The sequence below is a fragment of the Homo sapiens genome, chromosome 14 (genome assembly GCF_000001405.40).
Source record: "Homo sapiens chromosome 14, GRCh38.p14 Primary Assembly".
Classification (NCBI taxonomy): Eukaryota; Metazoa; Chordata; class Mammalia; order Primates; family Hominidae; genus Homo; species Homo sapiens.
In genome coordinates, this window is record NC_000014.9 from 63,949,588 (window position 1) to 63,967,024 (window position 17,437).

General features: G+C 39.6%; 1 protein-coding gene across 29 annotated transcripts in view, besides 2 other annotated features; it reads left to right on the forward strand.

Moving 5' to 3' along the window:
- SYNE2 (spectrin repeat containing nuclear envelope protein 2) overlaps positions 1-17,437 on the forward strand; it is a 464,854-nt gene that overhangs the window by 187,992 nt on the left and 259,425 nt on the right. For all 29 annotated transcript variants that reach the window (XM_047431152.1, XM_011536576.3, XM_047431149.1 and 26 more), the window contains 4 exons: positions 238-419; positions 5,132-5,328; positions 11,938-12,038; positions 14,312-14,413. In XM_047431152.1, coding sequence (XP_047287108.1) covers positions 238-419; positions 5,132-5,328; positions 11,938-12,038; positions 14,312-14,413 — 582 coding nt within the window. The remainder of the gene's footprint in view (positions 1-237; positions 420-5,131; positions 5,329-11,937; positions 12,039-14,311; positions 14,414-17,437) is intronic.
- Positions 1,272-1,835: an enhancer, noted in NCBI's record as "OCT4-NANOG-H3K27ac hESC enhancer chr14:64417577-64418140 (GRCh37/hg19 assembly coordinates)". NCBI's record gives its function as "activates a minimal SCP1, AML or CMV promoter by ChIP-STARR-seq in primed H9 embryonic stem cells {active_cell/tissue: H9 hESC(primed)}" and the evidence as "EXISTENCE:reporter gene assay evidence [ECO:0000049][PMID:30033119]".
- Positions 1,836-2,398: an enhancer, noted in NCBI's record as "OCT4-NANOG-H3K27ac hESC enhancer chr14:64418141-64418703 (GRCh37/hg19 assembly coordinates)". NCBI's record gives its function as "activates a minimal SCP1, AML or CMV promoter by ChIP-STARR-seq in primed H9 embryonic stem cells {active_cell/tissue: H9 hESC(primed)}" and the evidence as "EXISTENCE:reporter gene assay evidence [ECO:0000049][PMID:30033119]".

Consider the following 17,437-nt stretch of genomic DNA (forward strand, 5'->3'; position numbering starts at 1 on the left):
TGTGGGACAGCATGCCTGGGTGAGGGTAAGGAATGACCCAAGTCATTCCTTAGGAAGCAAAAGTGCAGCCCCCATGGCAGATGCTGTTATTCAAGGATTTGCCCAGTATTCATTTCACCAGGAGTAAACTATGACTGTCACAGGATGCTTTTTAGGTCTCTATTTTGACTGGAAATTTTGGCCCAATGCTGGTAACTTATGCTTTTATAAACGTTAAGTCTACTTTGCCTTCCTTAGATTGAGAAGCTTGCCCAGACTCTTTCTTGCAATTACAATCAGCCTTCCCTGGATGATGTGAGTGTGGTTGACTCATCTCCTGCCTCAAGTCCTCCAGCTAAGAAATGCTCTAAAGTGCAAGCAAGATGGCAAATGTCTGCAAGAAAGGCCCTTCTTTTGTGGGCTCAGGAACAATGCGCCACGTAAGTAGTTTGCTATGACCCTAAGAGACACACAGGGCAGCTGTATCAACCAACACCACCTCACCACCCAAACACCTCCCTCACTTAACATGAAAATTCTCACTATCCCCCTTCCTCTCTGTGCTTCTTCCATACGTGGAAGCCCAAGAGCTCAGCCACGTTTGGTTTCAAAGTCTGGAAGGTGGTATCACCTGGGTAAACGAACTCATCCCACCTGCTGTGTTTAGGTGGCATATTATTACATGGAAATAAAGTGGTATTTAAATGCCAGGCAAGATGGCTCACTCCTATAATCCCAGCACTTTGGGAGGCTGAGGCGGGTAGATCACTTGAGGTCAGGAGTTCGAGACCAGCCTGGCTAACATGGTGAAACCCCGTCTCTATGAAAAATACAAAAAATTAGCCTGGCGTGGTGGCATGTGCCTGTAATCCCAGCTACTTGGGAGGCTGAGGCAGGAGAATCGCTTGAACCTGGGAGGCGGAGGTTGCGGTGAGCTGAGATCAAGCTATTTCACTCCAGCCTGGGCAACAAGAGCGAAACTCTTGTCACACACACACACATACAACAAAACTTATCTCTTGAATATGTATATGAGTATATTAAGAGACCTCAGAGTTTAGAAACGTAGCTCAATTAGGAAGCACAGAGACCAGACAGTATGCATTCTGAGACAGGGTCTCACTTTGTCACCCAGGCTGGAGTGCAGTGGTGCGATTGTGGCTCACTACAGCCTTGACCTCCCAGGCTCAATTGATCCTTCCACCTTAGCCTCCTGAGTAGCTGGGACTACAGGTGCACACCACCATGTCTGGCTAATTTTTGTATTTTTTGTAGAGATGGGGTTTTGCCGTGTTGCCCAGGCTGGTCTCAAATTCCTGAGCTCAAGCAATTCACCTGCCTCCGTCTTCGAAAGTGCTGGGATTACAGGTGTGAGCTACCACACCAGCCTGGAGAATGCCCAATTAAAAATTGGGGATAATGAAGGAAAGTTAGTGCTCATATCTTTTTTTTTTTTTAAACAAAGAAAAATGTTTTTTGCTCTTGGTAGACAATTTACTTTTCCATTTTAAGCAGTGTCTGAGATGGAGCTTAGGAAAAATAAGGACTGTAGATTCAGGAGATCTCTCTACTAGAACAGCTGTCGAGTTCAAAAGGCATTTCTTGTCACATCATAGCATTGTTAGGTAAATAGGGTCATAAATATGTTGCTAAGCCCTTTCAAATGCAGGACTTCAGAGTAAGTCCTTTCTGCTGAAAGGCCAAGATAGAGCTGAAGTTCTGCTTTCAGCCTTACTTTTCTTTTCTTTTTTTTGAGAGAGAGTTTCGCTCTTGTCGCCCAGGCTGGAGTGCAGTGGCACGATCTCAACTCACTGCAACCTGCACCTCCTGGGTTCAAGCAATTCTCCTGCCTCAGCCTCCCCTGTAGCTGGCATTACAGCTGTGCACCACCATGCCCAGCTAATTTTGTATTTTTAGTAGAGATGAGGTTTCATCAGGTTGGCCCAGGCTGGTCTCAAACTCCTGACCTCAGGTGATCTGCCCACCTCGGCCTCCCAAAGTGCTGTGATTACAGGGGTGAGCCGCTGCTCCCGGCCCAGCCTTACTTTTCTTTAATTGTCATTCGTTCTCTATATTTTATGAGAGCCATAAACATACATAACCTTATATAGAGGTTTAAAGTACATTAAATGAACTGTTTCTTGAATCTCCTAGAGATAATTTGTACTCCAGTTTTCTATATTTTAAAAATCCCAAACAGTATTTGTGAAAAGCATTATTATGTCATACTCAGATTTATTTCATTTATGCATAAATAACCTTAAAGTCCTTTCAAAGCCCCATATATTTTACAACAGTTTATCTTTTCTTCACGTCTCCCCATCTTTCTTAGTTTTCAACTGTAGAGCTTATGCTAAGCTTATGAAAATGTAGCACATCTTCTTAAGTAATTCATCATGGGTTTATCCTAGTTTTGGCCATCATTGGTGGTATTATTAGATAACTTTTATTTCAATATCCTGTGTTTTATTGTTTCAATATTTGTGTTTCATTTCAATAAGACTGTTTTGTAAGTAATATGTTGTATTTTCTCATTTGTGAAACAGATGAATCAGGCCCCGTTCTCCACATCTAAATGAGTGTAGGTTCTGCCAACCAGGAGCCTAATTCCACCCTCTAAGGTCTGGCAGCACCGTCTTTGTGGTATTGGCTTTGGCTCATCAGTGCAGAGCTGACCTACACAGTATTAAGTACAGTGCCTGCCAGTCAGTGCAGTGCTGGTTCAACACTCAAGGTGCTGAGGTCTGGCCCTGCCCTCAGCTGCAGCCGCCATCCTTTAGTTATTATTAGGTTGGTGCAAAAGTGATTGCAGCTTTTGCCATTACTTTTAATTACTTAAAAGTAATTGCATTACTTTTGCCATTGCATTACAATTTGCCATTACTTTTAATGGTAAAAGCCACAATTACTTTTGCACCCACCTAATGGTTTACCTTAGTCTTACACACTCTAAAGTCAGAGTACCCGGATTTGAAGTGCTGGCGCCCTGTACTTTCTAACTGGTGACTTTGAACACTTAATCTCTTTGTGTTCCAATTTCTTCAGTCATAAAATGTGAACAGTAATATGTCATAGGTTGTTATATGCATAAGAATTTTTTTTAAAGCATTTAGAACAGTTTCTGGATGAAGTAGATACCACAAACATATTTGTTAGACAACACAAAAATCACTGACTGCTATGTAGTTTATTACAGTCATAGTTTTAAGCTTTTTTTCCCGTAAGTAAACAGGAAAACCCAGGTCATCTGGAGCAGACTATTTCCTGAGTAGCTTTTATCATTTGATTCAGACCTTAAAATAGTCTCTTGAATTTTTTCATGCTTTTTGTGGGATATGAAAGGACACTATAGTTGTTCTAGAATATATCCCAAGTGTTGCAGACAACTGTACTCTTTTGCAAGACTTTCCCTGATCCCTTATGAAGCACAGAATAGTGATGGAGTGATTTTTTTAAAAATATGTGTCTTAAGCCCTGGTGATATGCCAGGCATTGTTTGGGGAATGAGTCTACAGTGGTGAACAAGAAGGGCAAAGCCCTTGCTCTCAAAGGCTTGCATCCTGATGGGGAAAGCAGGAATTATCATGAAGAAATATGATAATTACAGTTGGCAAGCAGATTAGGAAGGACTTTTTTTATGGTCAAGAAGGTTGAGGGCAGGGAGAGTGTCTCCTTTAGTGCAGGTGGTAAGGCAGGGCTTTGCTGCGGAGAGACTTTAAGCTGACTCCTCAAGTGGGAGGCTTTATGAAGATCTGTGAGAAGGAGCGTCCAAGGACAGTGACTAGGAGGGTGGCTTTGAGAAACAGGAACAAGGCTGGTGTGACTGCAACTCTGTAAGAGAGGGGAGATACAAAGATGAGAGAAGCAGGCAGGGGCCAAATCACTTAGGGTCTGTGGACCAGGGTGAGAGATGTTATTCTAAATACAATGGCTAGCTAATGATGTTGATTGATAAATAGATAGATAGAGAGAGAGAGAGATAGATAGATAGATAGATAGATAGATGTAGATATTATTGTGATAAAATATACATAACTTAAAATCTGCCACTTTGACCATTTTTAAGTGTACAGTTCAGTGGCACTAACTACATTCATATTGTTGTGTAACCATCACCACTCTCTGTCACCAGAACTTTTTTCCTTTTGCGAAACTGTACCTGTTAAACTAGAACTCCCCATCATCCCCCAAACCCTGGCCTCTGGCAATGACCATTCTACTTCTCTATGAATTTGACTACTCTACATACCTCATATGAGTGGAGTCATGTGGTATTTGTCCTTTTGTGACTGGCTTATTTCACTTGGCATGGTTTTTAAGGTTCCTTCATGTTGTAGCATGTGTCAGAATTTCCCTCCTTTTTTTTTGAGGCAGTCTCATTCTGTCACCCAGGCTGGAGTGCAGTGGTGCGATTGTAGCTCACTGCAGCTTCAATCTCCCATTGTCAAGTGATCCTCCCGCCTCAGCCTCCCAAAGTGCTGGGATTGCAGGCATGTGCCAACGTCCCCAGCCAGAATTTCCCTTCTTTTTAAGGATGAATAATATTCATTGTATGTATATACCACATTTTGTTTATCCATTCATCTGTCATGATGGGTTTTAAGCAGAGGAGTGACAAGGTCTATCTATCTAGTGAGCTACTGGCCATTAATTACACACAATGTATCATTTAATTTGTCCCACTGAAAAAGGAAATCATTTCCTCTAGTTAGGAACCTTGACCTTCCCTGTATGTAGAAGTTTAAAGGCAGACTTAAGCCAACAGATTTGGTAATGAAGGGCATCAATCTTGAGTGAATATCATTATCTCCTGGAGGGCTTTTAAAGGCACAGATTTCAGGCCCACCTCCAGAGTTTGATTCAGTAGGTATGGGATTCGGCCTGAGAATTTACATTTCTAACACCTGCACCCCATGTGATACTGATGCTGCTGGCTCAGGAAACAAATTTTGAGAATCAGTGTTCTGTGGTATTTTGAGTTTCATCAAACTTGGCATTTTCCTTTAATTTGGTCACAAGATAAAAAATTTTATCTAGCATGATGTATCTAATTTACTTGATTTGCCAAATTTTAATTACTATTGAATATAGTGGAGGGGGGTGTTACGTTCTTTTTAATGGTATTTGTCATGTTTTTGTCTTTTTATGATAGCTATGAGTCTGTCAATGTGACCGATTTTAAGTCAAGTTGGAGAAATGGGATGGCTTTTTTGGCCATCATTCATGCCTTGCGACCAGACCTAATTGACATGAAGAGTGTGAAGCATAGATCCAACAAAGACAATCTGAGAGAGGCCTTCAGAATTGCAGAACAAGAATTAAAAATCCCCAGATTGCTGGAACCAGAAGGTAAAGAAGCTTCTTTGTTTTTAAAACAATCTTTAAGGCTTAGCATGAAGTTGATTTCAAAATAGTATCTATACATGAATAAACATAGTGGCACTCTATTTTAGTCCTGGAGGGTTTAACTTAAGCTCTTTATCGAATTTGATGCAATCAAACAATTCCTACCAATTTGTTAACTTCAGTAATTATAGGGGAAGCCACAGCTGAAAGCAAACAGTGCTGTTATTGGGAATAATTTGAGCCTGTCTTGATTTTCTTCTATTATGTTCTGTGTTTTTTTCTTCTTGATTCTGTTATTCTATTCTAAATCTCTTTTGTAAGATGTTTCTCTGAGTCTTGAATTAAAGTTGTTTATATGTCTCTCCTTCCTCCCTCCCTCTGAGTTAAAGCTGAACCTCTGTGAGAACAGAAACTGCTGCCTTCCCGTCTGTCCCTATGTGGTTGGTCATTGATTCTGCTCAGTCATGTTGGATTGTTAACAACAACATCCTAAGTACTGGGTAGTTTTAGAGATCATCATCAAATTATAATTTAACTTTATAAAATTAAGATTTAAAAATTTTACTTCTTTCTCAAAAGCACTTTACTTTGAATTGTAATGTTTCATAATGTAACCAAAGCTATTAAAAAAACATTAAGGTCATAATAGAGGTATATGGGATTAGTGAAAATTATGATGAACGAATAGGTCAAGCACGTATGAATTCTAGTCTCAGCTCTATTACTGGGGTGTGTATACAAATGTTTAGTGACTGGCTCTCCCAAACAATGGGAAATGTACACACATTTACACTATTATAGATTTTACTGATATTAAGGAATATGTATTATTTTATAAATAATTATAACGTTTATGATACGCTTTCTTATAGATTTCATATAGCTCCAAAATGCTTCTGTTCATTTTTGCCAAACTCTGTATCCATCTGTAACTAACTTAGGGTTGTATTTGCTGAAGAAGTATAGTTCTGACATGAATGTTAGTTTAGAATTTCCTTTATGTTAATAAGTAAGTGTAATAAGAGGTATATCAGAACTTCATATGTTCTTCAATGACATGAATGACTTCTTTGCTGAATTGAATACTAGAAGAATATTTTCTCAACTTTTTGTGCTATTCGCAATGCAACTAACAGCTTTAGACAGAACATATTTTTAAGATTTACCTGCATTATTAACAATTTCTTCATCTCTTTTTTAGCAGTTAACAGAACAACAGTCAAGCCTTCATTTGCAGACTTCTGTGTGATAAATGCTACTGCTATGACTGATTTCAAGTTACCAATGTGCAGTCACTGAACACAGAATTAGAAAAAGATGTGCAGTACCCACACCATTATATGTTGTTTCCATCATACAGATACAATAGACAGATAGCCTCAGGAGCATATAGTTAATAGTAAAATGTAATACAGTAATTGGGAAGTGATAAGTTTTGAGTATTTATTACCTATGCTTTTAATATAATTTGTGCATTTATATGATTTAATTTTTATTGATGATTTTTTCACAACCAGCTTACAAAAACTTCTGAACATTTAGCAGTCAACTCTCTTCAGCTGATGTGAGTCAGCTAGTTCCAGCACACTCACTGACCAGGTGACTGTGGATTTGTCACTTAATCTTTTTGGTTTTAAGCAGCTTTATTAAGAGATAATTCACATACCATATGATGTATCATTTAAGTATACAAATTAGTGGTTTCTAGTATACAGCCTGCCCTTCATGTCTGGGTTCCATATCCATGGAGTCAGCCAACACTGGATTGAAAATATTTGGAAAAAAAAAAGCATTTGTCCTGAGCATGTACAGACTTTTTTCTTGTCATTATTCCCTAAACAATACATGTTACACAATTGTATAACAACTATTTACATAGCATTTACGTTGTATTGGATATTAAAAGCAATCTAGAGATGAGTCCTGGAACCAATTCCCGTGTATACCAAGGAGAACTGTATTCACAAAATTGTTCACTCATCACCACAGTTCATTTTAGAACATTTTTGTCATCCCCAAAGGAACTCCTGTGACCATTAGCAGTTACTCTCCATTTACCCCTAACCCCCCCATGCCCCAGTACTTGCTAATTACATTTCACATAAATGGAATTATACAATATATGGTCTTTGTGACTGGCTTCTTTAACTTAGCAAAATGTCTGCAAGGTCATCCATGTTGTGGCATGTATCAATACTTCATTCCTTTTTTTTTTTTTGGAGTCAGAGTCTTCGCTGTGTTGCCCAACAATCTTGGCTCGCTGCAACCTCCACCTCCTGGGTTAAAGCGATTCTTGTGCCTCAGCCTCCCCAGTAGCTGGGACTACAGGTGTGCGCCACCATGCCCAGCTAATTTTTTTTTTTTTTTTTTTTTTGAGACAGGGTCTCGCTCAGTCTCCCAAGCTGGAGTGCAGTGGCGTGATCTTGGCTCACCGCAGCTTCCATCTCCTTGGTTCAAGTGATTCTCCTGCCTCAGCCTCCTGAGTAGCTGGGTCTACTGGTGTGTGCCACTGTGCCTGGCTAATTTTTGTATTTTTAGTAGAGATGGGGTTTTGCTATGTTGTCCAGGCTGGTCTTGAACTCCTGGCCTCAAGTGTTTGCCCACCTCAGCCTCCCAAAATGCTGGGATTACAGATGTGAGCCACCACTCCTGGCCCCTTTTTGTATTTTTAAATAAACTTCAGCGGGGCACTGTAGCTCATGCCCCAGCACTTTGGGAGTCTGAGGCGGGCGGATCATGAGGGAAGGAGTTCAAGACCTAGCCTGGCCAACATGGTGAAACCCTATCTCTACTAAAAATACAAAATTAGCCGGGTGTGGTGGTGCATGCCTGTAATCCCAGTTACTGCCTCACCTGGCCGAGCTAGTGCTGATCAAGGTTGTCATGGTGAAGTTACTCTTTTTTTCCCCCTTCTTTCCATACTGTGCTCTTTGGAGGGAAATCACTGCATAGCTCAGACTTGGGAGAGTTATGCTCACTCTTCTTGATGGCAGATTATACATATAAAGTATTTGAAGTTCTGCCCAGGCTGAGGAAGGAGAATCGCTCGAACCCGGGAGGTGGAGGTTGCAGTGAGCGGAGATCGTGCCACTGCACTGTAGCCTTGGCAACAGAGTGAGACTCCATCTCAAAAAAAACAAAAAAAAAGCCTTTTCAGTTTTAGAACAATTTTAGATTTATGGAAAAATTGAGAAGATAGTGCAGTAAATTCCCATAAACCCTGCACCCAGTTTCCCCTATTAACATCTTACATTAGTATAGTACATTTGTTATAATTAATGAACCAATATGGATATGTTATTTTAAATTAAGGTAATACTTTATTCATATTTTCTTAGTGTTTACCTAATGACTTTTTTCTCTTTCAATATCCCAGCCAGGATACCACATTATATTTAGCTGTCATATCTCCTGTGACTCCTCTTGACTGTGACGGTTTCCCAGACTTTTAAATAAATGACCTTGACAGTTTTAGAGATTACTGGTTAGGTATTTTGTAGGATGCCCCTTTATTGGAATTTACATTATGTTTTTTTCTCGTGATTATACTGGGTTTTTGTGTTCTTGCAAGGAAGAACTCAGCAGTAGAATGTCATTCTCATCACATCCTTTCAAGGGTATATATTGTCAACATGATTTATTACTGTCAATGCTTACCTTGATCACCTGGCTGAGCTAGTGCTGATCAGGGTTCTCATGGTAAAGTTACTCTTTTCTCCCCCTTCTCTCCATACTGTGCTCTTTGGAGGGAAATCACTGCATAGCCCACACTTGGGAGAGTTAAGGCTCACTCTCCTTGATGGCAGATTATCTGTGTAAAGTATTTGAAGTTCTTCTGCACAGAGATTTGTCTGTTCTCCCCCATTTACTTATTTATTCAGTCATTTATTTCTATCAGTATGGACTTATTGATATTTTACACTCTTAGTTGTAATGCAATACTACTTCGTTTATTTTAATGGTCAATTTTTTAAAAAGTCCTCTTTACGCTCAAAGTTTTGTCCACTAGGAGCTCTTTCAGTTGGCTCTTATGCTCCTTTGATTTATCCCCATCAGTATGAAGTTTGCTTGTTTGTTTTTGAGCATTTTCTTACTTTCTGGCCTGACAAGACGCTGCAGGCTCATCTTGTATATTTCCTGCCCCAGTCTTAGGATCAGTCATTTCTCCAAGGAGCCCTGGCTCTTTTTATTGGAGAATGGTATTAGAAACCAAGATCTGGTGTGGTAGCTGTGCTCTTTACTACTGGTATTTAGCCTCTTTGGACTTCAGGTTTTGGTAAGAGTTGAATTAGGTTATATTTGTAAGCTCACAGCCAATGTGAACTTAGAACTTATATGTGAGCTTACAGCCATATTCTTTTTTCTTTTCTTCTTCTTTTTTTTTTTTTTTTTTTTTTTTTTGAGATGGAGTCTCTTGTTCTGTCTCCCAGGCTGGAGTGCAGCGGCTCAATCTCAGCTCACTGCAACCTTCGCTTCCTGGGTTCAAGCAATTCTCCTGCCTCAGCCTCCTGAGTAGCTGGGATTACAGGCATGTGCAACCACGCATGGCTAATTTTTGTATTTTTAGTAGAGAGGGGGTTTCGCCGTGTTGGCCAGGATGGTCTAGAACTCCTGACCTCAGGTGATTCGCCGCCTTGACCTCACAAAGTGCTAGGATTACAGGCTTAAGCCACCGTACGTGGCCTGCCTACAGCCGTATTTCTACAGTTTGGACATTGGTCTGGCTTCATGTTGGTTGTTACTAATTCTTGTTAACTTTTTACCCCTATCTTTTTTTACCCCCTTCCTTTTTTACCTTCTTTTCTCCCTTTCTTTGTCTTTTGGCTTTTCTTTTTCCTTCATTTTTCCTCATGCTTTTGTTCTCATTTCCTGTTTCTGATGACTGTTTTAAATACTTTTCTTATATTATGATTCTCCAAATCTTTATTATTAGTATAAAATATTTTCTCCATTTTTGTATGTACAAATAACCAGGCAACTAATGAAATAGACACTATAGTAAAAACAAATTTCCTCCGCATAATTGCCCATAATTCATTATAAATGGCTTAAATAATAGCTCAAAAATGTGAAATGCATCATGATTATTTATGCAAACCAAATACCATAGTCATATTTGAATAAGGGAACTATTTTGACGTAATATTGTTAACACATTTAATCTTCACGTGTGGCTTCGTATATAATAAGTTTTTATAAAGCAATATCTAAATAAGCCAATATCATTATTTTACGTATCTCTTGGTGCTTATATCTTTTTCAGTTAAAGACAGAATAACTTAATTCTTAGAAATTCTTCCTATATTGAGACCCTACCCTCAGCTTTTTATTGCTGGCTTTTATATGCTTACTGCCTTGAATTACATTGTTTGCAAATGAATTGGATTTATTTTCTACTTCAGGTGACTTAGAGCACTCATTGAACCTAGTAAATATGTTCACTAAAGCACGCATGGTGTGTTGTATTTGTTTATTTGTTTTTCTCCTAACCTTAAACTCCTTGAGGGGCAGATAATGTTTTAAGGCATCTAGCATCTACTAGCTGAATGAATAGAGGGTTGAAATGTAAGATCTCCAAAGGCATGGACCATACCTTATGTATCCTTGTAGCCCCTGCCTGTGACCCACATTTATTGGCTCTCTGTAAATATTTGTTGCTTTAAGTTTAACTTAATTAATAAATAAACAGTGAAGTGTTTTTTTTTTTCCAATAATCTTCATTGCTTGTTTAGGTCAAGAAACACCTCCAAATTAGGTGTTCATTTTGTCTGTGACATATTGCATTCACCCTTTTGTGATTTTATGATCTCCTTCACTTATTAGATGCCTGGAGAAGTTCTGCACTTTACAGAATTTATATGCCTGGCACAGTGTCTTGTGCCAGCTACTTGTGAGGCTGAGATTGGAGGACTGTTTGAGGCCAGGAGTTTGAGACCAGACTGGACAACATAGAGAGACCCTGTCTAAAAAAAATAAAAAATAAGATAAATAAGATTTTGTAGTCTTTAAAATTTTGTTTAATTCAGCATTTTACAAACTTATTTCACCATGGACTCTTAATGCAACACAAAGCCTGGCCTGTAGAAGGCTTTCAGTAGATTTACTTGTTCCATGAATGAATGAACAAACTCTGTGGATGTCTTAGATAAGCCTTCCGTACAATATATGCTTTTGGAGATGCTTTACTGCACACATGCCAAGACCAACATGTCAGGAATGCATTCTAATTGCTGTATGTTCCTGCATTCCTGGAGGAATTTCTGCACTATGTGTCTAGAAAGAGGAATGCTTTATTTTCTCCTCTTCATCCTCTCTGACTACTTATGCCTTCAGACATACCCCATAGTGATACTTTATTATTAGAAAACGGAGACTGTGCACATACTAGTGCCAGGATTTAACCCAGATCTCTCTGAGTATAGATCTAAACTCTTAGCCACTGCACAGTCTTGCAGCAAGGCTGAGTAAACAGAGATTGGATGGCTGGGTGACTACTTTGGTGCATTTCCAGAGCCTGTGAACCAAATGGCAGAGGCTATGGCATAGCCCATTCTTGAGTATTCATTATAGTAAATGTGTAACAGCTAATTGATAGTGTGGTGTATCTTGCAGATGTGGATGTTGTTGATCCTGATGAAAAGTCCATCATGACCTATGTGGCACAGTTTCTGCAGTATTCCAAAGATGCCCCTGGGACTGGAGAGGAGGCTCAGGTATGTTTTCATATGCATAAATCAAGCTCATTTTAGTTGTATCCTGCTAATGGTTTAATTTTTAAAATCAAGATATAATTTGCATACAGAACTTAAATGTACAGTTTAATGAGCATACACCCCTGTAAATCATACTTCAATCATGATGTAAAACATTTCTAGTACCCAAAATATTCCACTGGGCACCTTTTCTGTCTCTGCTCCCCATCCCAGGCAACCAGCATTCTAATTTCTTTTACTGTAGATTAGTGTTGAATGTTCTTTTTTTTTTTTAGGTTCAAAGGGATAATTTATTAAACTTTGCTGAATTATCTGAAACAACTTTTAGATGGGCACTATATAAGACAAATGAAGTTAAGCTTTTAAAAATCTAAAGATATCAAATTTTTATTATAATATTCTATTTTTTATTTTTATTTTTATTTTTGTTTATTTATTTATTTATTTTTGAGATGGAGTCTTGCCCTGTCGCCCAGGCTGTAGTGCAGTGGCGCGATCTTGGCTTACAGCAACCTCTGTCTCCCCGTTCAAGTGATTCTCGTGCCTCAGCCTCCCAAGTAGCTGGAATTACAGGCATGTGCCACCATACCCGGCTGATTTTTGTATATTTGGTAGAGACTGGGTTTCACCATGTTGGCCAGGCTGGTCTCGAACCCCTGACTTCAAGTGATCCACCCACCTCGGCCTCCCAAAGTGCTGGGATTACAGGAGTGAGCCACTGCGGCCGGCCTGTCAAATTTTTTTGTATTATAATATTTATTTCCTTTATTGAGATATAGTTTATATACCATAAAATTCATCTATTTAATATGTTCATTTCAATGGTTGTTAGTGTATTTACATGATCAGGCAACCCTCACCATCATCTAATTTGAGCACATTTCCGGTTTGCCTATTCTTTAGCTTCATGTAAATGAAATTGTGTGATTCATATAAATGAAAGTGTTGTGTTCTACTCTTAATCCCTATTTGTTGATATACTCTTGAATTACTATTTTCTCTGCCTCACAGGCTTAAATGATTCTCGTGCCTCAGCCTCCTGATAGCTGGAATTATAGGCATGGACCATCCTGCCTGGCTAATTTTTTGTATTTTTAGTAGAGGCAGGGTTTCACCATGTTGGCCAGGCTGGTCTCGAACTCCTGGCCTCAAGTGATCTGCCTGCCTTGGCCTCCCAAAGTGCTGGATTATAGGCGAGCCACTGTGCCCAGCCTTGAATTACTATTAGATTGCCATTTGATTATTCAGTTTTTCTCCTTTACTTTCAGTGAATTACACAAAATATTGTGGGTAGAAACTTCATAAAAATTGCTGAGCTGAAAAGAAACTCTTATTCTGCTTCTAAGATGATAAATGAGTGCTGTGAATTTAGCAAAATGTTCGATATTACTTAAAAATGTATTTTAAACCACATGTTTGCATGCATTTTCAGACATGTTTACATGCATTTTATTTGACAAATTGGGCCTGTGTTTTTCCAGCTGTTAAGTTTGAGGCAATAAGCCAGATTGTTGCTGACTCTGGAAGAGAGTCTCAAGCTGAGATGCAGGCTTATAATTCGGTTCACTTATTTCTGGCCTGCTGAGGAGCTATTCTTTTCTAACTAATTTTCATATTAAAAAAATAAAATGAAAGATTCAACTGTCCATGAAATTGAGTGCAAAAATATTAGAAAACTTTTACTTAATAGGAAAAAACAAAGTAAATGAAGGTTAAGGAAGAGTGGAAATAAGATATAACTTCTTTGTCCTATAGTAGTAAAATTGGCTTCCAAATGTAAGCAAGCAAGTTTACCACCTAAGCAAGAATCTACGGAAAAAGTAATTGTTGTTCACATCTTAATGATAGCATAGCTAAAACCTTTGGTAGTGTTATTTTTAGGCTCTCGAAAGTGTTTGAGTTATTTTTGATGTCAGTGTTTTTGCAGGGTGTGAACATCTCTTGAATTACCCCATATTTCGATTTATTGGAAGGCAGTCTTCTGAAATGCCTGCTATAAAGAAGTGATTTAGAATAATGTTCTCCAAGCCAAAATGGGGGAGGGGGTGTGTTGCTTGCCCATTTCTTTAGCACATTGTCATGTTCAGATGCTAGTTTCAATCTGGTTTAAAATTTAAGGTGTTATGTGAACAAGTGAAATTACTCTTTGGCATAATGAATCATTGGTGTGTAATGATGGCATTATTTCACTGATGTTTCAAGTTGCTAATTTTTTTGTTAAAAAAACCAAGCCCGTTTAAAATATAGTTTAATTTTGTGTGTGTAAAATACAGGGAAAGGTGAAAGATGCTATGGGCTGGTTAACTCTGCAAAAGGAAAAACTACAGAAGTTGCTAAAGGATTCAGAGAATGATACCTACTTTAAAAAGTATAATGTAAGTATGATTTTAAACAGCTGTTTGTAATTTACCTTTTAAGAGTTGAGCGTAAGTATGTTTTTAGAAAACTCTTTCAGGCTTAAGTATTTTAAGTATTAAATTCACTGAAAGTTTTAAGGCTGAATTCTAGGACTGTACTTCCGAAACTTTAAGGTGCATGTGATTCACTGGGTAGTCCTGTTAAAATGCACATTCTGGTTCAGTAGTTCTGGGGCAGGGCCCAAGTTTTTGTGTTTCTAACAAGGTCTCAGGTGATGTTGATTCAGCTGGTTTTTGGAGTACTTTGAGCAGCATGGTTTTAGAGCAGGGGTTGGCCCATTTTGTAAATAAAATGTTGTTGGAACAGAGCCACACCCATTTAAGTATTGCCAGTCACTACTTTCACACTATAACCCCAGAGTTGAGTAGTCGTGATAGAGACCATATGGCCTGAGATATTTACTGTCTTGCCCCTTACAGTAAAAGTTTTCCAATCCCTGGTTTAAAGCAGAACATGCTTTTTATTTTATTTTTATTTTTATTTTTATTTTTATTTTTCGAGACGGAGTTTTGCTCTCGTTGCCTAGTCTGGAGTGCAATGGTGCGATCTTGGCTCACCGCAGCCGCCACCTCCCAGGTTCAAGCAATTCTCCTGCCTCAGCTTTCCGAGTAGCTGAGATTACAGGCATGTACCGCCATGCCCAGCTAATTTTGTGTTTTTAGTAGAGACAGGGTTTCTCCATGTTGGTCAGGCTGGTCTCGAACTCCTGACCTCAGGTGATTCACCTGCCTCGGCCTCCCAAAGTGCTGGGATTACAGGCGTGAGCCACAGTGCCCGGCCCCAGAACATGCTTTTTAGAATGAATATTGAATGAAAGAAAAATCAGGAATAGGGATCCTAGAATTACAATACAGGGCTCAACCGAGAGTCCTTTGGCAAATAATGACAACTGTGATTATTACCACATATTGAACATTTCTTTTTTTTTTTTTTTTTTGAGGCGGAATCTTGCTCTGTGGCCCAGGCTAGAGTACAGTGGTGTGACCTTGGCTCACTACAACCTCTGCCTCCTGGGTTCAAGCAATTCTCATGCCTCAGTCTCCCGAGTAGCTGGGTTTACAGGCATCCGCCACCAGGCCCGGCTAATTTTTATATTTTTAGTGGAGATGGGTTTTCACTATGTTGGCCAGGCTGGTCTTGAACCCCTGACTTCAAGTGATTCGCCCACCTCAGCCTCCTAAAGTGCTGTGATTTCAGGTGTGAGCCACCACATCTGACCATGTTGAACATTTTCTATGTAGCAGATACCTTGCTGGTTTGCATTTCACATGTTAAAATATCTTGCTGAGCTTGGTATTATCCCAGTTTTACAGATGAAGATAATAAGTGGCTTATTTAAGGTTACATGGCTACTGAAAGGGTAGACATGGGATTTGAATGGAAGTGTAGCTTTAAAGCCCAGCTGTTTTTACGTTGTGATGCTTCTCTGGGGTAAGTAGTTATTCCCTGTACAGTCTTGAAAGAGACTTAATAGGAAACAAAGCAAAGGTTCCTCAGTCCCGTTTCTTAGAGCCTGTTGTCTATACAGCACTGTGCTTCTCCCCAGTGCTTTGTCCTGAACAAGCTGCAGATACTGTCAGGTACCCCACACAGCACTTAGCACCTCTAGGTCTCCATCTCCCTGTCTGTTAAGTCAAAGAGTTGGATAAGTCCAGCCTTTTCAACTGTAACATTCAGTGGGTTGTGCAACTTGCTGGCCATACTTTCCTTTTTTGCTTTGGAAGCATCAGGGAAGGAAGGGATCAAACATCTTTTTCTTCCTTTGGTCTGAACTGCATAGGCTTCTTGACCTTCTTCCCTTAGCTCTGATCTAAGATTTTTTTCTCGACAAAGTGCTCATCATTTACTGAAAGTGTATTGTTCTCACATATGTCTTTGATTTAATAATGTATCACAGATTTGGGTTTCCTAAATAGGAAGAAGGCTTTATGAAGTCATTAATTATCAGAATTAAAGTAAATTAATTATCCTTTGACTTTCTCATAACATTTCATTTAAAATGCTGTCAATAATTCTGGATAATGTTTTAAGTGACATTTAAAACATTAATGCTGATCCTTGGAGTAGTTTGAGCAGCATGGTTCTAAAGCAGAGGTTGGCCCATTTTGTGAATAAAACGTTATTGGAACAGAGCCATACCTGTCAGTAGCTACTTTCACACTACAACCCCAGAGCTGAGTAGTTATCTATGGCCAGTTGTGGTGGCTCATGTCTGTAATCTCAGCACTTTGGGAGGTGAGGCACGTGGATCATTTGAACCCGGGAGCTCAAAACCAGCCTGGACAACATGGTGAAACCTTGTATCTACAAAAAATACAAAAAAAAAAAAATTAGCTGGACGTGGTGGTGCACTCCTGTAGTGCCAGCTGCTCGGAAGACTGAGGTGGGAGGTTCACTTGAGCCCAGGAGGCAGAGGTTGCATTGAGCCAAGATCATGCCACTGAACTTCAGCCTGGGCGATAGAGCCAGATCCTGTCTCCAAAAAAAGAAAAAAAAAATCTGTGTAATCAGTAACTCTTTTTTTTCCCCCCCCGAGACAGGATCTCTCTCTTTCTCCCAGGCTGTAGTGCAGTGGCCCGATCACAGTTCACTGCAACCTCTGCCTCCTGGGCTCAAGCCACTCTCCCACTTCTGCCTCTTGAGTAGCTGGGACTACAGGTGTGTGTCACCATGCCTAGCTAATTTTTTGTATTTTTGATCGATATGGGGTTTTGCCATGTTGCTCAGGCTAGTTTTGAACTCCTGGGCTCAAGTGATGCACCTGCCTCAGCCTCCCAAATTGCTAGGATTACAGTCATGAGCCTCAGTGCCTGGCCAGTTGATAACTCTTTTTTTTGTTTTTTTTGAGACGGAGTCTCTGTCACCAGGCTGGAGTGCAGTGGCGTGATCTCGGCTCACTGCAACCTCTGCCTCCCTGGTTCAAGCGATTCTCCTGCCTCAGCCTCCCGAGTAGCTGGGACCACAGGCAGGTGCCACCACGC